This window comes from Homo sapiens, chromosome 19 (assembly GCF_000001405.40).
Source record: "Homo sapiens chromosome 19, GRCh38.p14 Primary Assembly".
Taxonomy (NCBI): Eukaryota; Metazoa; Chordata; class Mammalia; order Primates; family Hominidae; genus Homo; species Homo sapiens.
The window spans coordinates 14,408,746-14,429,045 of NC_000019.10; the positions used below are offsets into that span (position 1 = coordinate 14,408,746).

Sequence of the window (20,300 nt, forward strand, 5' to 3'; positions counted from 1 at the left end):
GATTCAGAGGCCGGGCCCAGGGTGTCCGTGAAAGGCCAAGATGACCAAGAAATAGATGGGGTGGGAGCCAGGCTTCCATAATAACAAGTTTATTCTCATACAATCTCTAGCTTCTCAACAGTGGCGCCTGGAAAGGGGAGGTGAAGCTGCATGCGGGCGGCTCCGGGTGGGCGGCTCTGGCACGTGGTGGTTACCGGCTCTGCTCGACTGTAAGACATGAGATGCAGTGAACTGAAGGGCCGGGGGAGGAACCCTCTGCCCCAGACCCCTGGCCCTGCCCAAGGCACTTACTGTATGTGGAGATGTCGATTTCCTCTGGAAGTTCTGCCACATTAACTTCAAACCGGTCCTGGACGTCATTGAGGATTTTGGCATCATTCTCGTCAGACACAAAAGTGATGGCTAGGCCTTTGGTGCCAAAGCGACCCGCCCGGGCCACCTGCAGGCAGACAGGATCAGGGTCAGGCCACAGATACTACCTCAGGACTTGAGGAAAAGCAGGGCTGGGGCCCCACCCCACCGCCAGGGGAAAGCAACATGCCCGTGAGGCTGCTCACCCGGTGCAGGTAGGTGTCCGAGTCCTCAGGCATGTCGTAGTTAAAGACGATGTTGACTCGCTCGATGTCCATCCCCCGGCCAAACAGATTGGTGGCCACCAGGATCCGCCGCTGGAAATCCTTGAACTGCTGATAGCGTGACAGGCTGGGGTGCAGGAGAAACAAGTGGAGGCCGTCAGACACTGGGCTCCTGGTGGTGCTCCCTGCAGCCTTGGCGGGCGGCTCGCACTCACCGCTCCTCCTGGGCCATGCCCCGGTGGATGGCGATGGCCGGGAAGTTCTGCTCCACGAGGAGCTGGGCCAGGGCCATGCAGCGCTGCACTGACTTGACGAAGATTATCACCTGAGGGAAGGAGTGGCAGTCAGGGCCACACAGTCCCTGTGGCCCAGTGACCTCCCGAAGGTCCTGAGCCCCAGGACAGGCTGATGGAAGTATCACCTGGTTAAACTCCAGCACATCCAAGAGATCAAAGAGCTTGCGGTTCTTCTCACTGTCTTTGAGTTTGACGTAGTACTGCTGCAGGCCGTGCAGCGTGAGCTTGGTCTCGTCGTCCACAAACACCTCCATGGGCTGTGTGGGAAGGGAGGTGGGAGGGGCGGGCAGGGATCACCTCTGGGCATCTCGCCTGCCCAGAACCTTCCAGTGGGCGACTCCTTTGTGCGACACTTCCCAGAGGACCTGCTGCACCAGACCTCAGTAAACATCGCTCAAAAGCTGGATGTAAGCTCTGGCCCGACTCAGGTGTGGACCAAGCTTGACTCCCAGTTTGACAAGACCGAGGGGAGGAAAGGAGGCTCCGCCGGCTCCCAGCATCCCAGCATCCTCCGTGCCATGTGGGCCGTGCGGGTGTCCTGGGGCCCCAGGCTCCAGGCCCCTGGGGAAGGCCAAAGCTGCCACTCTCGCCCTACTCACATCCTGCATGAACTTCCTGCACACAGGCCGGATGTCCTTGCTCAGGGTGGCGCTGAACATCATGCACTGCTTCTCGTGTGGTGTCAGGCGGAAGATCTCCTGCACATCCCGCCGCATGTCTAGGTGGGGAGGGCAAGACATGGGTGGGCATGAGCGTCTGCCATGCAGGACCCCCACCCCAGACCAGACCCAGACCCCTCCCAACCTGTGCCAGGGAGCCAGTGGCACCGTGACGAGGGCAGAGTGAGCCGCGGGAGTGGCCAGTCCTGGTGCCTGAGGGGCTGGGGGGTGGCCAGCGAGCGCAGGCGCGGGAGGAGCTGCAATCCACTTACACGCTGGCGCGGAGCAGCCGTGCCCGTGCGCCTCGAGCCACGCTTCAGGGAGGGGAGCCTGAGGCAGAGACAGCCGCTGGGGTGAGAGCTGCAGCTGCCTCCCAGGACACAAGCCCATCTCCCACCGGCCCTGTCGGGGCTCACTGAGGGCAGGCGGGGCCTGGAACCAACCCAACAGGTGGCAGAAGCCTCATACTCCCAGAGGTATGTGTGCATGCCTTTACGTCCAGGAGGGACGGGGGCTTGCTTGGGCCCCGTGGTCCCATTCGGCTCGGGCTCAGAAACAGCACATCCCTCTGCCAGCAGCAGAGCTTTCCCCAAGATCACCACAGGAGCCCCGCCTGCCGGCCGCCCATGTAACCCACTCAAGAGCCTTCCGCCTGCTATGGGGCCCGCCTAGTCACTGACTCTCAGCTGGGGCTGCAAGGGCAGAGGACTCACCCAGCTGCTCCAGCATCTTGTCACACTCGTCCAGCACAAAGTGCTTCACATTCTTTAGGCTGAAGCTCCTATTCCGCACGAGCGCCAGGATGCGGCCCGGGGTCCCCACCACGACATGGGGACAGTTCTTCTTCAACACTTCTTCATCCTTCTTGATGGAGAGACCACCGAAGAACACAGACACCTATGGGGATGAGGAGGAAACCGCTCCATGCTGATACACGGCCCAAGGCCCCAACCTGCACGGCCCAGCACCTGCGAACAGGAGGCCTCAGGGGACCAAGGCAGGCCTGAGAGCCTCCCGGGGCTCCACTCAAAGGCAGCCCCAGGCTGGGACCTGCGCAGGCCCCTGGGAGCCATGCATAATTCATCAGGCTTTTAAGGAGCAAAAACCACCGCAAACCTCAAAGGCAGCTGCCCCTGCCAAGCTTGGTAAATGCTGGCTGGGCCAGAGCCGAGGCTAACAAAGCTGCAGAAACCAAGTGGCGCCTGGTCCAGTCTGGCCCGAGGGACTCACCTTGACGCTGGGCATGTACTTGGAAAAGCGCTCATATTCCTTGCTGATCTGGAAGGCCAGCTCCCTCGTGTGGCACATGACCAGGACCGTCACCTGGGAAGTGGCATAAGAAGAGGGCCTTACCTTAGGCAGTGTCCTAAACCCCTTCCCCACCAGAGTCCACCCAACCCAGTCCCCCTGACACTGCACCCAACATCACAGGCCATTTGAAGGCCCGGTCCAAATGCCTCCCACTTCTCACGGCCCTTCCCCACCCCTCACTCCCTATACCCTCCCACAGCTATTGAAACCTGTCTCCCAACACCAGGACCCACAATAAGAAACAGAAAATGGAACAGAAAATGGCCCGCATAATGTAATGGTTAGACCTGGCCTGCCTGGGTGACATGGGACCTGGCTCTCTAAGGATTTCCTGAATCTCGGCACTCGGGCGGCCCCGGTCTTCCCACCCGTGCCATCAGACACTGGACCACACCACAGCCCTCCACAGCACCTTCATCCTTCAGGATGTGCTCTGAGATAACGAGGGCACGGGCGCCAATATGAAGCCCAAAGATGTGCACCTGGCCTGACTCGGGAGCAAGACACCAGAATTCACTGAAGTGTCTCCCCAGGACAGTGGCACACAAGACAATGGGAGAAGACAGCCAGGGCCTAACAGCAAGGACAGTGGTGACAGCTATATTCGGGGCAACCCAACCTTCACAGATGGACACTCTCTAGGTAAGTGGCACGGCAAAACAGCAACGATGCCTCTGGGGCAAGGGGCAAACTGTGGGCACTTTCCAGTTATTTTGGCTTATTGGCAATTTCTAATTTTTGTTATAACTAATTATTTTTTGAGATGGAGTCTACCTCTGCCACCCAGGCTGGAGTGCAGTGGTGTGATCATAGCACACTGCAGCCTCGACTTCCTGGGCTCAAGCAATCCTCCAGCCTCAGCTTCCCAAAGCACTGGGCTAACAGGTGTGAGCCACCCCATCCAGCCTACTCTACTTCCGCCGCCACAGGCAGGGTGGGGCCAGGAAGGGAGGAGCCCACCCACCTGTCCGTTGACAGGCTCAATCTGCTGTAGGGTGGCCAGCACGAAGACCGCTGTCTTGCCCATCCCGGACTTGGCCTGGCACAGGACGTCCATGCCCAGGATGGCCTGGGGAATGCACTCATGCTGGACTGCAGGAGAAGCAGAGCGTGAGGGACGAGAACCTGGATGCACCCCCGTGCAGGATCCTCACCAGTTGACCGGGGGCCCACAGTGAGGGCAATCAGAAGAGGCCGAGTCCGGACAAGGCCACAGACACCTGCAGGGCTGGGGTATCCGCCTGGTCAAAGCAGAACGCCCCACTGCCGAGGGCAGCCACAGGCCCCGCTGGGCACAACTGATCCGCGGGACAGACGGGCCCCTCCCTCACCCACGGCAAACTGGAGGCGGCACCGCTCTGGGCGGGCAGGGCTGGTCTTGTCTTGGTGAGGACCTGGGCAAGAGGATAACACCCAGAAGGCGTACCCTCAGAAGGATGCTCAAAGCCACAGTCCACGATGGCCCGCAGGAGCTCCGGCTTCAGCAGAAAGTCCCGGAAGCCAGAGCTGTGGATGGAAACGTAGGATCCCTTGATGTCTTTCTTAGGGGGAGCTGGTGTGCTCTCTTGAGGAGCCTGGGGCTCTTCCTCTTCATCGTAATCCAAAAGATCGTTTTCCACATCCTGTTCTGCCATGATGCTGAGAAGAGAGAGAGGCAGGGTCCCGCGAGTGGGCACAGAAGGATGATGAAGCTTCATTCAAATGGCATTCTCTGCCGCCTCCTTCCATGAGTGAGCCCATCAGCTCTACCTGGGCTGCACCTCGCAGCTTCGCCCTGTCTCCACCTCCCCACCCCCAAGCTACCCCATCTCTCCCCCATGCCCCTCTGGCCACACCCACAGACAGAACACCCTCCACCTCCAAGGGCTTCCCATGGCTCACAGAGTTAAAATCCCAACTCTCACCACAGGCCAGGCAATCCCCTTGGTTTGACCCCTGCTCACCTCATCCCACACCACCCCCAGCCTTGTTCAGCTGCTCAGACCCCTGGAGCCCCTGCCCCAAGCCTTTGAACCTGGCTGTCACCGCCAGGAATGCTCTGCCCCCAGGTCTCTGCACAAATGCCTCCTTCTCCACACGCAAGCCTCAGCTCCAGTGAACCTCCTCAGACTACTCAGCCCAGAGAAGCCCCCTCCCTATCACTCCCCAAGGAACCCACTGGGCTTTCATGGGGCAGGAGCCCAAAGATCCCAGGGGTGGGGCTGCCAGGATGCTGGTGGGAACTGAGTTTGCGAGAGAGCAAGCAGTATCTGTCCAGCCCCAGCTTCTCCCACTCTCTGTGGTCTGCACAGGGGAATAATTAAGTGCTCTCATGAAAGGCCTCCTATTGGGCCTGGGCCAATAAAAATAAAGCTGAGAAGATGGAAAATGGAATTAATACAAAGTCTGCCTACCTCTTTGCTTTATTAATCTAATGCATACCAAGTGCCTGCTGGGTGCAAGGGACCCAAACATGAGGACAATTGTCTTTCGTCCTCCTCCCCTACCCCAGACTCCAGTGGGGGGTGGAGCAGAGGGTGACAGCTGCTACAATTCTTCCTGAGGCTGGATGCTGAGGATCCTAGGCCACTTTTGGCCTCGCTGTCACTCATTCCCGGCTCAGAAACAGCAATTCCATTGTCTCAATGGCTGTTTTCTCTCTCTCAACCTCCCTGTCCATGAGGCAGTGAATCCCACCAAGGCCCTCTGGCCAGTTCTCACCTATGCTACCATGCTGGCCCCAAGCTGCTATCACCTGTTTTATTATTATTATTATTATTATTATTATTATTATTATTATTATTATTGAGATGAAGTCTTGCTGTCACCCAGGCTGCAGTGCAGTGGCGCAACCTCGGCTCACTGCAACCTCCACCTCCAGGGTTCAAGATTCTCCTGCCTCAGCCTCCTGAGTATCTGGGATTACAGGTGCTTGCCACCATGCCCAGCTAATTTTTGTAGTTTTCGTAGAGACAGGGTTTCACCATGTTGGTCAGGCTGGTCTCAAACTCCTGACCTCATGATCTACCCACCTCAGCCTCCTAAAGTGCTGGGATTACAGGTGTGAGCCACCGCGCCTGGCCTTATTATTATTTTTAACTAGAACAGCTTTACAGGCTGCGCGCGGTGGCTCACGCCTGTAATCCCAGCACTTTTGAGAGACCAAGGCGGGTGGGTCACCTGAAGTCAGGAGTTCGAGACCAGCCTGACCAACATGGTGAAACCCCAACTCTACTAAAAATACAAAAATTTAGCCAGGCATGGTGGCAGGCGCCTATAATCCCAGCTACTCGGGAAGCTGAGGCAGAAAAATTGCTTAAACCTGGGAGGCGGAGGTTGTGATGGGCTGAAATCACGCTTCACTCCAGCCTAAAAAAAAAAAAAAAAAAAAAGAAAAGCTTCACAGAGATATTTACATGCTATACAACTCACCACTTAAGGCAGATAATTCAGTGGTTTTTAGTGTAGTCACAGACATGTGCAACCACTACCACATGTGCAATTTTAGAATACTTCATCACCTTGAAATAAAAGCTCCTGTACCCTTTACGTATCCATACCCTAAACACCCCACCCCAGCCCCGGGCAACCACTAATCTGCTTTCTGTTTCTATGGATTTGCCTGTTGTTGTGGACATTTCACATAAATGAAATCTTATAATTTGTGACATTTTGTGTCTGGCTTCTTTCACTCAGCACAGTGTGCTCTACCACATCATCAGTACTCCCTTCCTTTTTTTTCCCCCCTCTTTGAGACAAGGTCTTGCTCTGTTGCCCAGGCTGGAGTGCAGTGGCCCAATCAAAGCTCACTTCAACCTCTGCCTCCCGGGCTCAATCAAGCGATCTTCCCACCTCAGCCTCCCTAGTAGCAGGAGCTACATGCGCCCGCCACCACTAATTTTTGTATTTGTAACAGAGATGGGGTTTCACCATGTTGCCCAAGCTGATCTCCAACTTGTGGGCTCAGGCGATCCGCCCACCTCAGCCTTCCAAAGTGCTGGGATTACAGGTGTGAGCCACCACACCTGGCCTCATTTCTTTCCATGGTCACCTAATGTTCCATCTCACCAACATACTACATTTTGCTTAACCACTGTCAGCTGGACATGTAGGTGCCATCATCTCTTGCCTGAATTAAGCCAATATCCTCCTCCCTGGTTTCCCTGTTGCCATCCCCCAGCCCCTCCCCAGAGCAGCCAGAAAGACCCTATCAAACTAAGTCACGGCCAGGCGCGGTGGCTCACACCTGTAATCCCAGCACTTTGGGAGGCCTAGGCGGGCGGACCACCTGAGGTCAGGAGTCCAGGACCAGCCTGACCAACATGGTGAAACCCCATCTCTACTAAAAATACCAAAAATGTGCCGGGTGTGGTGGCGGGTACCTGTAATCCCAGCTACTTGGAGGCAGGAGAATCACTTGAACCTAGGAGGCAGAGGTTGCAGAGAGCCGAGATCACACCATGGCCCTCCAGCCTGGGCGACAGAGCAAGACCAAGACTCTGTCTCAAAAAAAAAAACAAACCTAAGAGTACATCACTATTCTGCTCAAAACTTTTAATGGGTTCCTACTGTGCTTAGAAAAAAACTCGAGTCCTCACAAAGCCAGCCTACCGGGCCCCTCCTAACCCGACTCCTCTATACTCATACCTCATCTCCCCCATTGCCCCTCACTCGCCAGCCTTGCTGCCGTGTCTCAAACACACCTCAGCACCTTTGCACTTGCTGTTCCTGCTGCCTGGAAGGGTCACAAATCCCCCACTTCTTTTGGGCCTCCTTTGCTCCAGAAAGGCATTTCCTCACAGCCCCAACTAAAACAGCACCGCTTCCAGTCAGCCCTGCCCTGTGAGAACAGCTAATAAGCACTCCATAGCAATGGCTGAATAAATGGAACTAGAATAAAGGCGTTCAGGCAGAGTTGAACATGTCTCTTTATCTGACCCTTCAAACAGGCAATCTGAAGGGGTCACTTCCCAGGCAGCAGGGAAAACAGGAGCCAAGAAAGGTCAGTCCGAAAAGCACCAGAGCCTTTTGGGGTATGCAGAGTAGGACTAGCTGGCTGGCGTCAGGGCAGAAGACAAAGCTGGAAGAGCTGGTCAGCCACACAGGGCATGTGTTTGTTTGTTTGTTTTTTTGTTTTTTGAGACAGGGTCTCGCTCTGTCACCCAGGCTGGAGTGCAGTGGTGCAATCATAGCTCACTGGAGCCTCGACCTCCCAGGCCCAGTGAGTCCACCACCTCAGCTTCCTGTGTAGCTGGGACTACAGGTGCATGCCACCACGCCTGGCTAATTTTTGTTTTAGTAGAGACAGTGTTTCACCACGTTTCCCAGGCTGGTCGTGAACTCCTGGACTCAAGCAAACCTCCTGCCTCTGCCTCCCAAAGTGCTGGGATTACAGGAATGAGCCACCCACCACGCCCAGCCTGGGCCTGTGTACTTGTTAAGCAATAGGGAACTGCTAATTAGATTGGAGCTGAGCCACTCAATCAGGATCTGCCCAAGAGTACTGTAACTTACTCCTCCGATGAAGGGGTAGGTTAAGACCAGTAGCAGGGAAAACCAGTCACCAAATAAAAGAGAAGTAACCAGGGTAGGGGCGTGAGGTAAGGAAAGAAAGGGTGGGACATGCCAAAAGACAGGAACATCCCCTGACCAATCCATGGGTAGAGAAAAGCCACAGTCTATTCTGGGCTCCAAATCTAGGTGGCCAAGAGATGGTGTATTTTAAGGAAATAAAGCAAAGTTGTTTTGTTGGTGGGGAAATAAATTTGGGGCAGGCCCGGCATGGTGCCTCACTTCTGTAATCCCAGCACTTTGAGAAGCCAGCGTGGGAGGATGGCTTGAGCCCAGGAGTTCGAGACCAACCTGGACAATAAGTCGAGACCGCGTCTATACAAAAACAATTTTTAAAAAAGTAGCCGGGTGGGTGGGGGGAGGGGGGAGGGACAGCATTAGGAGATATACCTAATGCAAATGACGAGTTAACGGGTCCAGCACACCAACATGGCACATGTATACATATGTAACAAACCTGCACGTTGTGCACATGTACCCTAAAACTTAAAAAAACTTAAAAAACACATAGCCCAAGGGGCACCTTCTATGTAGCAAAGGCTAAAAAATAAATAAGTAGAAATTAAAAAAAGAAAAAAATTAGCCCGGTGTGGTGGCATGGGCCTGTAGTCCCAGCTACTTGGGAGGCTGTGCCGGGAGGATCGCTTGAGCCAGGAGGTCGAGGCTGCCAGTGATGGCGCCATGGCATTCCAGCCTGGGTGACAGAGGGAGACCCTTTCTCAAGAAAAATAAATTTAAAAAAAGAAATTGGGGCCCAGCGTGGTGGCTCATGCCTGTAATCCCAGCACTTTGGGAGGCGAAGCGGGCGGATCACTTGAAGTCGGGAATTAGAGACAAGCCTGGGCAACATGGTGAAACCCCGTCTCTACTACAAATACAAAAATTAGCCGGATGTGCTTGCTTGAACCCGGAAGACGGAGGCTGCAGTGAGCCGAGATAGTGTCACTGCACTCCAGCCTGGGCGACAGAGCAAGGCTCTGTCTCAAAAAAAAAAAAAAAAAAAAAAAAAGAGAGAGAGAGATAAATAAATTGGGGTGAACCGAATCTGCTAAGATAAAATTTTCGAGAAACCGGGCTGGACAGGATCTAAAGCTCAAAACTGATTAGATCAGGAAAGGATCCGGCGGGGTTTTCCCCGCCCAAAGTGGGTGGCCATGACCGCTAAGGCGCCAGGAGCGCATGAACTTGAAAGGTGACAGCGGGGAACTCACAACCCAGACACGCCACGTGTACCCAGTTACCCTCAAGTGTCCCCAGGCAGGCTTTCCACCCCGGAGTTTATTCCCACCTGGGGACTCCTATTTCCAAAAGAAAATCTTTTTTTCATTCTGTTTTTTTTGAGGCAGAATCTCGCTCTGTCACCCAGGCTGGAGTGCAGTGTCGCGATCTCGGCTCACTGTAACCTCCACCTCCCGGGTTCAAGCGATTCTCGTGCCTCAGCCTCCCGAGTAGCTGGGACCACAGGCGCTCGCCACCACGCTCGGCTGATTTTTTTTTGTATTTTGAGTAGAGACGAGGTTTCACCATGTTGGCCAGGCTGGTCTCGAACTCCTGACCTCAAGTGATCCGCCCTCCTTGGTCTCTCCCAAAGTACTGAGATTACAAGAGCCACCGCGCCCGGCCTTCCAAAATAAAGTCTTATTTGCTCTAAATCTCAGAATCCCGAATCCCGTAAAAAGTAGACCAAGAAGAAGGTAGACTGGGAAAGGGATCAAGTCCCTCGGACCCAAAGAAACCCCTGACAACTGAAAGCTCCAACTTCTCCCACCCAGGCCCCAGACCCCGGCGTCACCCCCTCGTCCCTCTCCAAATGGCCCCAGGCCGCCGCGGGGTCTATTCGGACGAACTGACAGACTCCAAGTGGGGCTCGGAGCGCCGTAGGCCATGACAGCCCCTCCGAGAAGCGGGCCCCGAGCCCCGAGCACCGCGCGCCAACGGCTGGCCCACCCCTAGCGCATGCGCCCCGGTGCCCAACGGCCAACACACAGCGCTCTGACACACCAACCGCCCCGCCCCCACCGTCTCGCGACCCTTTCTCCCCCTCCCCTTAGATCCCAACGTCTCCCCTCGTCCTCTCGCTCTCAGTTCAGACGTCCCCACACCGCGGCCCCGCGCCCGGGATCCGCTGCTCACCTGGCTCCCCGTTCTTCTCCGCGCGCTGCTAAGAGACACTTCCAACTTCGGTTTTCCGCCGGGCGCTCAGACACGAGTTGCTGCGCTTCCTGCCTCTTGCGTCGGGCTGCTGCTCTGCTGACTGGGCCGCTGCCTTTTCATTCAAGAGAGGCCGAAGCGGTGATTGGGTCCTGTGGAAGGGACCGGGAGATTATTGGCGGAGACGGGAAGAAAGAGGGCGTGCCTTACGCCTCGCGTTTATTGGTCAATCTAAAAGTAGGCGCGCCCCAGTGAGCCGACAGACTGGCTCCGACAGCGCGCGGTCTCGTGATCTGGGTGTGGTGCTCGGTGGGAGCCGCCATGTTTAGTACTGATAACTGAAGACCGGATGATTGCGTTTTGGCGTGTGCCCCACCTTTTCGAAGAGTGGCGTCTGCGCTGGGCGCTGAAACCAGAACTGTCCCAGTTGCTATCAATCTGCGGCCTGGGGGTCCTCCACAGTGTAGGCTCTGAAAAGAATAGGGAGCTTGGAATGACTCAAATGGACAGAACATTTTGCAGTATTTGGATTTCTATCGCTCCACGATAGTTTTGTCTCCTTGATTTTCACGTTAGTAGAAGCATGCAATAGGTTGTCTTTTGTGTCTGACTTTTGCTCAACAAAGCTGTTTTTTTGAGACGGAGTCTGGCTCTGTCACCTAGGCTGGAGTGCAGTGGCGCGATCTCTGCTCACCACAACCTCCGCCTCTCGGGTTCAAGCGATTCTCCTGCCTCAGCCTCCTGAGTAGCTGGGACTGCTGGCGCCCGCCACCACACCTGGCTAATTTTCATATTTTTAGTAGAGAGGGGTTTCGCCATGTTGGCCAGGCTGGTCTCGAACTCCTGGCCTCATGTGATCTGCCCATCTCCGCCTCCCAAAGTGCTGGGATTACATGAGCCACCCTGCCTGGCCGCAGCAAAGTGTTTTTGAGAGTTGTCCATGTTGTGGGGATATCAACAGCTCGTTATTTTTTACTGCTGAGTGGTATTTCATTGTGTGGCTATACTATAATGTAGCCAATATAGTTTCACTCACCTGTTCTTGGCCAATTGATTGTTTCCGGTCTTTGGCCACTGTTAATAGAGCTTGTACTGTAAGAGTATTTTGGGGAAGATAAATTTTCATTTCTTTTAAATACTTAGGAGTGGCATGGTGGCATGGTCACTAAGCTTTATTAGATCCTGGCAGATTTATTTTCCTATCATCCTTCCTCCCTCTTTCCCTCCACTTTCTTCTTTCTTTCTTCAGGGTGTCACTCTTGTTACCTATCATGCCCAGCTAATTTTTAAAAATTTGGTAAAGGTGGGGTTTTGCAGGCCGAGCGTGGTGGCTGACACCTGTAATCCCAGCACTTTGGGAGGCCGAGGTGGGTGGATTACCTGAGGTCAGGAGTTTGAGACCATCCTGGCCAACATGGTGAAACTCCGTCTCTACTAAAAATAGAAAAATTAGCCGGGCGTGTTGGCGGGCGCCTGTAATCCCAGCTACTCGGGAAGCTGAGGCAGGAGAATGGCGTGAACCCGGGAGGCGGAGCTTGCAGTGAGCCGAGATCGCGCCACTGCACTCCAGCCTCGGCAACAGAGCGAGACTCCGTCTCAAAAAAAAAAAAAGAAAAGAAAAGAAAAAGAAAATGCCAAGTAAAGAAAGGATCAGCGGGCACCAGGGCTCCTGCCTATAATCCCAGCACTTTGGGAGACCAAGGAGGGCGGTTCACTTGAGGTCAGGAGTTTGAGACCAGCCTGACAACATGGAGAAACCCCGTCTGTACTAAAAATGCAAAATTAGCCGGGCGTGGTGGCGCATGCCTGTAATCCCAGCTACTCGGGAGGGTGAGGCAGGAGAATCGCTTGAACCTGGGAGGTGGAGGTTGCAGTGAGCCGAGTTCGCACCATTGCACTCCAGACTGGGCAACAAGAGTGATCACCTAAGGCCAGGAGTTCAAGACCAGCCTAGGCAACATAGTGAGACCTCATCTCTACAAAAAATAAAATAAAATAAAATAAAAATTAGCCAAGCATGGTGGTTGATACCTGTACTCCCAGCTACTCGGGAGGCTGAGGCAGGAGGACTGTTCGAGCCCAGGAGTTTGAGGCTTCAGTGAGCTATGATTGCACCACTGCACTCCAGCCTGGGTGAAAGAGTGAGACCCAGTCTCTAAAATAAATGAATAACACATTGTAATTAAAGTCAAAGTCACGGCCGGGTGTGGTGGCTCACACCTGTAATGCCAGCACTTTGGGAGGCTGAGGCGGGCAGATCACCTGAGGTTGGGAGTTCGAGACCAGCCTGACCAACATGGAGAACCCTCGTCTCTACTAAAAACACAAAATTAGCCAGCCGTGGTGGCATATGCCTGTAATCCCAGCTATTCGGGAGGCTGAGGCAGGAGAATCGCTTGAACCTGGGAGGCGGAGGTTGCGTTGAGCCAAGATCGCACTATTGTACTCCAGCCTGGGCAACAAGAGCGAAACTCTGTCTCAAAAAAAAAAAAAAAAAAAAGTTGAAGTCACCTGTGCTTCACTCCAACTCCTTTCCTCCCAGTACAGAAACAATGCCCTAAAGAAAAACAGTCGTACTGAACAGTTACTGCACCCACCTTTACAAGAATTACAGTCATGGGGTCACATAATGACACGGACATGTTGAGGAATGTCTCCATAGGCAATCTTGTCATTGTATGAACATCATGGAGTTTGATACAGTTTGGATGTTTGTCCCCTCCAAATCTCATGTTGAAATGTGATCCTTCTTGAGCCCAGGAGGTTGGGGCTGCAGTGAGCCATGTTTGTGCCACTGCACTCCAGCCTGGGAGACAGAGTGAGACTGTCTCAAAAAAAAAAAAAAAAAAAAAAAAGAGGAAAGAGGCCAGGTGCGGTGGCTCACGTCTGTAATCCCAGCACTTTGGGAGCTGAGGTGGGCAGATCACGAGGTCAGGAGATCGAGACCATCCTGGCTAACACGGTGAAACCCCGTCTCTACTAAAAATACAAAAAATTAGCTGGGCGTGGTGGCGGACACCTGTAGTCTCAGCTACTTGAGAGGCTGAGGCAGGAGAATGGCGTGAACCTGGGAGGTGGAGCTGGCAGTGAGCTGAGATAGCGCCACTGCAGTCTGGCCTGGGTGAAAGAGTGAGACTCCGTCTCAAAAAAAAAAGAGAAAAAAGAAAAAGAATAAAACAAAAATAAAGAAGAAAGAGGAAGGAAGGAAGGAAGGGGAAACGAAGGAAGGAAGCCAGGCAGGCAGACAGGTGATCCGCAGTGTTGGATGTGGGACCTAGTGGGAGGTCTTTTTGGTCACAAGGGTAGATCCCTCATGAATGGCTTAGTGACATTTCCATGGTAAAGTGAGTTCTCCTTCTATTCATGAGATTGCTGATCGTTTAAAAGAGCACGGCACTGCTATCCTCTCTCGGTCTGGCTTCCTTCCTGTCTCACCATGGAATGCCTGCTCCCCTTCCCCTTCAACTATGATTGGAAACTTTCCGAGGCCCTCCCAGAAACAAATGCTAGTGTCATGCTTCTGGTACAGTCTGCAGAACTGTGAGCCAAATAAACCTCTTTATAAATTACCCAGACTCAGGTATTCCTCTATAGCAATGCAAACTGACCTAGACAAGGGAACTTAGATAAACCTAGATGGGTCTGGGCATGGTGGTTCATTCCCAGCACTTTGGGAGGCCAAGGCGGGTGGATCACGAGGTCAGGAGTTCGAGAGCAGCCTGGCCAACATGGTGAAACACTGTCTGTACTAAAAATACAAAAATTAGCCGGGCATGGTGGTGCGCACCTGTAATACCAGCTACTCAGGAGGCTGAGGCAGGAGAATCACTTGAACCCAGGAGGCGGAGGTTGCAATGAGCCGAGATCCTGCCATTGCACTCCAGCCTGGGCAACAGAGTGAGACTCCATCTCAAAAAAAAAACCTAGATGGTATGGCTACTACACGTGTAGGCTATGTGGTATAGCCCAGCAGTCCCCAACCTTTTTGGCACCAGGGACCTGAATGATGGAAGACAATTTTTCCATGGACGTAAGGAGGGTGGATGGTTCTGGGATGAAATTGTTCCACCTCAGATCATCAGGCATTAGTTAGATTCTCATAAGGAATGGGCAACCTCGATCCCTCACATGCACAGTTCACAATAGGGTTGAGCTGCTATGAGAATCTAATGCTGTTGCTGATCTGAGAGGAGGCAGAGCTCAGGCTGTAGGTAATGCTCACCCATCACTCACCTCCTGCTGTGTGGCCTGGTCCCTGACAGGCCACAAGGCCAGGGAGGGGTGGGGGTGGGGACCCCTGCTATATAAAGCCTACTGCTCCTAGGCTACCAACCCGGACAGTGTGTAACTGTCTGAATACTGTAGGCAATTGCAACACAATGCTAAGTATTTGTTTTGTTGTTTTTACCTTCATCTTCTTTGTGATGTTACAATGGTAGGTATTTGGATATCTATACATATCAAAACATAGAAAAGGTACTGGGTGTAGTGGCTCACACATGTAATCCCAGAACTTTGGAAGGCTGAGGCAGGAAGTTCAAGACTAGCTTGGGCAATGTGGTGAGACCTCTTCTCTACCAAAGGAAAAAAAAAAAGCTAAAAAGCTACTTCATATAAATTTCCTTTCATTTCCCTTTTTATTTTTCCCATTTACTTTTTTTTTTTTTTTTTTTTTTTTTGAGACGGAGTTTCACTCTTGTTCCCCAGGCTGGAGTGCAGTGGCACGATCTCGGCTAACTGCAACCACCACCTCTCGGGTTTAAGCGATTCTTCTGCCTCAGCCTTCCGAGTAGCTGGGATTACAGGCACCTGCCACCATGCCCGACTAATTTTTATTTTTTTTCAAACAGGGTCTGGGCCAGGCACAGTGGCTCACGCCTGTAATCCCAGCACTTTGGGAACCGAGGCGGGTGAATCACCTGAGGTCAAGAGTTCAAGACCAGCCTGGCTAAAATGGAGAAAACTCGTCTCTACTAAAACTACAAAAATTATCTGGGCATGGTGGCAGGCACCTGTAATCCCAGCTACTCAGTTGTCTGAGGCAGAATAATCTTGTGAACCTGGGAGGTGGAGGCTGCAGTGAGCTGAGATCACACCACTGCACTCCAGCCTGGGCGACAGAGCGAGACTCCGTTTCAAAAAATAAAATTACATGATATAAATAAAAAGAAAAAAATAAACAGTCTGGCTTTCACTCGGGCCATAGTGCCAGGTGAGATCTCAGCTCACTGTAACCTCCACCTCCTTGGCCCACTAATTTTTGTATTTCTTAGAAGAAATGAGGTTTTGCCATGTTGTCCAGGCTGCTCTGGAACTCCTGAGCTCAAGCAATCTTCCCGCCTCTGCCTCCCCAAAGTGCTAGGATTATAGGCATGAGCCACCCCGCCCAGCCTCCTTTACTTTATACATTTTTTCACTTTATATATATATGTGTGTGTGTGTGTGTGTGTGTGTTTGATACAAATGGTATCAGACTGCATCATTTTGTTCCTTTCTTTCTCTTTAGTATCATTAAAAAATAACTAGAAGCTGGGCCCAGTGGCTCCTGCCTGTAATCCCAGCACTTTGGGAAGCTGAGGTGGGTGGATCACTTGAGGTCAGGAGCTCAAGACCAGCCTGGCCAACATGGTGAAACCCCATCTCTACTAAAAACACAAAAAATTAGCCAGGCGCGGTGGCACACGCCTGTAATCCCAGCTACTCAGGAGGCTGAGACAGGAGAATTGCTTAAACCTGGGAGGCAGAGGTTGCAGTGAGCCGAGATCGTGCCATTACACTTCAAACTGGGTGACAGAGCAAGATTTTGTCTCAATAATAATAATAATAATAACTAAAGATGATGCTCTCCCTATGCTGCCCAGGCTGGTCTAGAACTCCTGTCCTCTGCAATCCTCCCACCTCTGCCTCCCAAAGTACTGGGACTACAGGCCTGAGGCACTACGCTTAGTCCTTTTTTTTTTTTTTTTGAGAGAGTCTTGCTCTGTCGCCCAGACTGGAGTGCAGTGGCATGATTTCGGCTCACTGCAACCTCTGCCTCCCAGGTTCAAGCGATTCTCCTGCCTCAGCCTCCCGAGTAGCTGGGACTACAGGCGCCCACCACCACGCCTGACTAATTTTTATATTTTTGGTAGAGACAGGGTTTCACCATATTGGCCAGGCTGCTCTCCAACTCCTGACATTGTGATCCTCCCGTCTCGGCCTTCCAAAGTGCTTGGATTACAGGCATAAGCCACCGCGCCTGGCCTTTTTTTGTATTTTTAGTAGAGACGGGGTTTCACTGTGTTAGCCAGGACGGTCTCAATCTCCTGGCCTCGTGATCCACCCACCTCGGCCTTCCAAAGTGCTGGGATTACAGGCGTGAGCCACCGTGCCCAGCCTACCTTGCAGTTTTCTAGCTTGTCTTTCCCAAGTTTACTCCAGTACCTGCCCTTCAGGGAAGCCTACACTGACTGCTTCCTCTGAAGTGCGACAGCTACCCCCTCCAGCCTTTGCAGTCTGGGATACCTTTCGCCTGATACCTCATACTGTGCCCACTCATTCCTTTCACAAAGACGGACGTAGCACAGGCTCTGTGCAATTTCAGGGAGGAGTAACATGCAAAATAATCAAACAGGGCCAAGGGCCAGAAATGACGTCGGTGTGGTCTAGGAAGATTGCTCAGAAGATGTTACATTTAAACAGATAACTAAATGAGCAAAAGGGGCCAGCCCTGGAAAGATGTGATAGAAAAGCATTCCAGAACAGATAACAGCCAGTGCAAGGGCCATGTGGTTGGAAGTAAGGTGAGACTATTTGTTTTTGTTTGTTTTTTTTTTGACGGTGGGAGGTGGTTTGTTTTTTTGTTTCTTTGGTCTCACTCTGTTGCCCAGGCTGGAATGCAGTAGCATGATTTTTGTTTTTTATTTGAAACGGAGTCTTGCTCTATCACCCAGGCCAGAGTGCATGGCACTGTCTCGGCTCACTGCAACCTCTGCCTCCTGGGTTCAAACAGTTCTCTGCCTCAGCCACCCAAGTAGCTGGGATTACAGGTGCCCACCACAACACCCAGATAATTTTTGTATTTTTAGTAGAGATGGGGTTTCACCATCTTGGCCAGGCTGGTCTTGAACTCCTGACCTCGTGATCCACCTGCCTTGGCCTCTCAAAGTACTGGGATTACAGGCGTCAGCCACCGCGCCTGGCCTTTTTTTTTTTTTTTTTTTTTTTTTTGAGGTGGAGTCTCACTCTATTGCCCAGGCTGGAGTGCAATGGCATGATCTTGGCTCACTGCAATCTCTGCCTCCCAGGTTTGAGTTATTCTCCTGCCTCAGCCTCCCAAGTAGCTGGGATTACAGGCAAGCACCACCACGCCCAACTAATGTTTGTATTTTCCATAGAGATGGAGTCTCACTATGTGGGTCAGGCTGGTCTCGAACTCCTGACCTCATGACCCGCCCACCTCAGCCTCCCAAAGTGTTGGGATTACAGGCATGAGCCAATCGCTGGCCTTTTTTTTTTTTTTTTTTTTTTTCTGAGAGAGTCTTGTTCTATTACCCAGGCTGGAGTGCTATGGCATGATCTCAGCTCACTACAACCTCCGCCTCCCTGGTTCAAGCGAGTCTCCTGCCTCAGCCTGCTGAGTAGCTGGGATTCCAGGTGCCGGCCACCACGCCCAGCTAATTTTTTTTATTTTTTTAGATGGAGTTTCACTCTTGTTGCCCAGGCTGGAGTGCACTGGTGCAATCTCGACTCACTGCAACCTCCGTCTCCCAGGTTCAAGCAATTCTTCTGCCTTGGCCTCCCAAGTAGCTGGGATTACAGGCACCCACCACCACATCCAGCTAATTTTTTGTATTTAATAAAGACAGGTTTCACCATGTTGGTCAGGCTGGTCTTCAACTCCTCACCTCAGGTGATCCACCTGCCTCTGCCTCCCAGAGTGCTGGGATTACAGGCACGCACAGCCCAGTGGCACAATCTTGGCTCACTGCAACCTCCACCTCCTGGGTTCAAGCGATTCTCAAGCCTCCACCTCCCAAGTAGCTGGGATTATAGGCATCTGCCACCACAGCTGGCTAATTTTTTTTTGTATTTTCAGTAGAGATGGGGTTTCACCATGTTGGACAAGCTGGTCTCGAACTCCTGACCTAAGGTGATCAACCTGACACAGCCTCACAAAGTCCTGGGATTCCAGGCATGATCCACTGTGCCTGGCCAAGGTGAGACTATTTGAAGAACATAGTGAAGGCTAATGTTGCTGGATGGGGGTGAGGAGAGTGAGGTGTTTGGACAGGTGGGCAGAGAAGTCTGACAAGACCACCTTGTAGACCAAGTGAGGAGTATGAAGTTTTTCCTAAGTCTGCTGGGAAACCAGGCACAGGCACGTTTTCTAGCAGGGAGAAGCAGGGATGGTGATGGTGTGATTTAGGATTTCCAAGGCCCCAGAGTGAATTAGAGAGGGGTGAGAACAGCTGCAAGGATGTGCCGGTGCAGTTATCATATTTTGTTGAGATTGTACAATTAGTCCTTTGTCTCTCCCCCTGACACTTTTTTTTTTTTTTTTTTTTTTTTTGTCTTGCTCTGTCTCCCAGGCTGGAGTGCAGTAGCATGATCTTGGCTCACTGCAACCTCTGCCTCCTGGGTTCAAGCGATCTCCTACCTCAGCTTCCCTAGTAGTTGGGATTACAGGCGTGTACCACCACACCCGGCTAATTTTTGTATTTTTCGTAGAGGCGGAGTTTTGCCATGTTGGCCAGGATGGTCTCAAACTCCTGACCTCAGGTGATCCACCTGTCTCGGCTTCCCAAAGTGCTGGGATTACAGGCATGAGCCACTGTGTCCAGCAACCACCACCCCGCTCCTTTTTTATTTTTATTGTTTTTGAGACGGAGTCTTGCTTTGTTGCCCAGTCTGGAGTACGGTGGTGCGATCTCGGCTCATTGCAACCTCTGCCTCCCAGGTTCAAGCAATTCTGGTGCCTCAGCCTCCTGAGTAGCTGGGACTACAGGCATGCGCCACCATGCCTGGCTATGTCTCCCCGCCCCCTTTCTTGGTTTGTTTGTTTGTTTTTTGAGACGGAGTCTTGCTCTTGTTGCCCAGGCTGGAGTGCAATGGTGCAATCTTGGCTTGCTGCAACCTCCACCTCCCGGATTCAAGCGATTCTCCTGCCTTAGCCTCCTGAGTAGCTGGGACTACAGGCACTCACCACCACACCCAGCTAATTTTTTTTGTATTTTTAGTACAGATGGGGTTTCACCATGTTGGCCAGGCTGGTCTCAAACTCCTGATCTCAGGTGATCCACCCACCTCGGCCTCCCAAAGTGCTGGGATTACAGGCTTGAGCCACCACACCTGGCCACGTCTCCCCTTTTAGCAAACAAAGTGTGGCTGGACGTGGTGGCTCATAACTGTAATCCCAGCAGTTTGGGAGGCCGAGGCGGGAGGATCACTTGAGGCCAGGAGTTCAAGACCATCCTGGGCAACACAGTGAGACTTCATCTCTGCAAAAAAAAAAAAAAAAAAAAAAAAAAAAGAATTAGCTGGGCATGGTAGTGCATGCCTGCAGTCCCAGCTACTCAAGGGGCTGAGGTGGGAGGATGACTTGAACCTGGGAGGTTGAGGCTGCGCTGCAGTGAGCTGTGATCTCACCCACTGCACTCTAGCCTGGGTGACAGAATGAGACTTTGTCTCCAAAAAAAAAAAAAAGGCCTGAACTGCAACTTTATCTCCAGTGCCACCAAATTCCCCAGTGGGTCTCTGTAAATATTCACTGAGTAAAT

The 20,300-nt window shown here is 52.5% G+C and overlaps 1 protein-coding gene across 3 annotated transcripts, besides 7 other annotated features; it reads right to left on the reverse strand.

The window, feature by feature from the left end:
• DDX39A (DExD-box helicase 39A) lies at positions 53–10,638 on the reverse strand. Of its 3 annotated transcripts, none has more exons than NM_005804.4 (11): positions 10,525–10,596; positions 4,268–4,479; positions 3,806–3,933; positions 2,761–2,853; positions 2,244–2,427; positions 1,471–1,589; positions 997–1,128; positions 791–900; positions 558–702; positions 292–439; positions 53–207 (listed from the first exon to the last, which is right to left on the reverse strand). In NM_005804.4, the coding sequence occupies exons 2-11, from the start codon at positions 4,473–4,475 to the stop codon at positions 191–193; spliced, it is 1,284 nt and encodes a 427-aa protein (NP_005795.2). In that variant the 5' UTR covers positions 4,476–4,479; positions 10,525–10,596; the 3' UTR covers positions 53–190. The 3 variants fall into 3 exon arrangements, 2 of the variants coding, with proteins under 2 accessions (NP_005795.2, XP_011525922.1); XM_011527620.2 differs by lacking the exon at positions 10,525–10,596 and adding an exon at positions 10,184–10,307; NR_046366.2 differs by lacking the exon at positions 791–900 and having other exon boundaries at positions 10,525–10,638.
• Positions 502–551: an enhancer, noted in NCBI's record as "active region_14165". NCBI's record gives its function as "activates an Ori minimal core promoter by ATAC-STARR-seq in GM12878 lymphoblastoid cells {active_cell/tissue: GM12878}" and the evidence as "EXISTENCE:reporter gene assay evidence [ECO:0000049][PMID:35858748]".
• Positions 7,989–8,068: a silencer, noted in NCBI's record as "silent region_10246". NCBI's record gives its function as "represses an Ori minimal core promoter by ATAC-STARR-seq in GM12878 lymphoblastoid cells {active_cell/tissue: GM12878}" and the evidence as "EXISTENCE:reporter gene assay evidence [ECO:0000049][PMID:35858748]".
• Positions 8,089–8,178: a silencer, noted in NCBI's record as "silent region_10247". NCBI's record gives its function as "represses an Ori minimal core promoter by ATAC-STARR-seq in GM12878 lymphoblastoid cells {active_cell/tissue: GM12878}" and the evidence as "EXISTENCE:reporter gene assay evidence [ECO:0000049][PMID:35858748]".
• Positions 9,176–9,225: an enhancer, noted in NCBI's record as "active region_14166". NCBI's record gives its function as "activates an Ori minimal core promoter by ATAC-STARR-seq in GM12878 lymphoblastoid cells {active_cell/tissue: GM12878}" and the evidence as "EXISTENCE:reporter gene assay evidence [ECO:0000049][PMID:35858748]".
• Positions 9,596–9,655: an enhancer, noted in NCBI's record as "active region_14167". NCBI's record gives its function as "activates an Ori minimal core promoter by ATAC-STARR-seq in GM12878 lymphoblastoid cells {active_cell/tissue: GM12878}" and the evidence as "EXISTENCE:reporter gene assay evidence [ECO:0000049][PMID:35858748]".
• Positions 10,066–10,205: an enhancer, noted in NCBI's record as "active region_14168". NCBI's record gives its function as "activates an Ori minimal core promoter by ATAC-STARR-seq in GM12878 lymphoblastoid cells {active_cell/tissue: GM12878}" and the evidence as "EXISTENCE:reporter gene assay evidence [ECO:0000049][PMID:35858748]".
• Positions 10,326–10,425: a silencer, noted in NCBI's record as "silent region_10248". NCBI's record gives its function as "represses an Ori minimal core promoter by ATAC-STARR-seq in GM12878 lymphoblastoid cells {active_cell/tissue: GM12878}" and the evidence as "EXISTENCE:reporter gene assay evidence [ECO:0000049][PMID:35858748]".

What these genes read in the sequence shown, in the direction of transcription:
- DDX39A (NM_005804.4), bottom strand. Translation starts at nt 4,475, where the DNA reads ATGGCAGAACAGGATGTGGAAAACGATCTTTTGGATTACGATGAAGAG. An exon ending in CTTTGAGCATCCTTCTGAGG is followed by an intron (nt 3,934 to 4,267) that starts GTACGCCTTCTG and finishes CTTCTCCTGCAG; the next exon opens with TCCAGCATGAGTGCATTCCC. An exon ending in CAAGATGCTGGAGCAGCTGG is followed by an intron (nt 1,590 to 2,243) that starts GTGAGTCCTCTG and finishes CTCCCCACCTAG; the next exon opens with ACATGCGGCGGGATGTGCAG.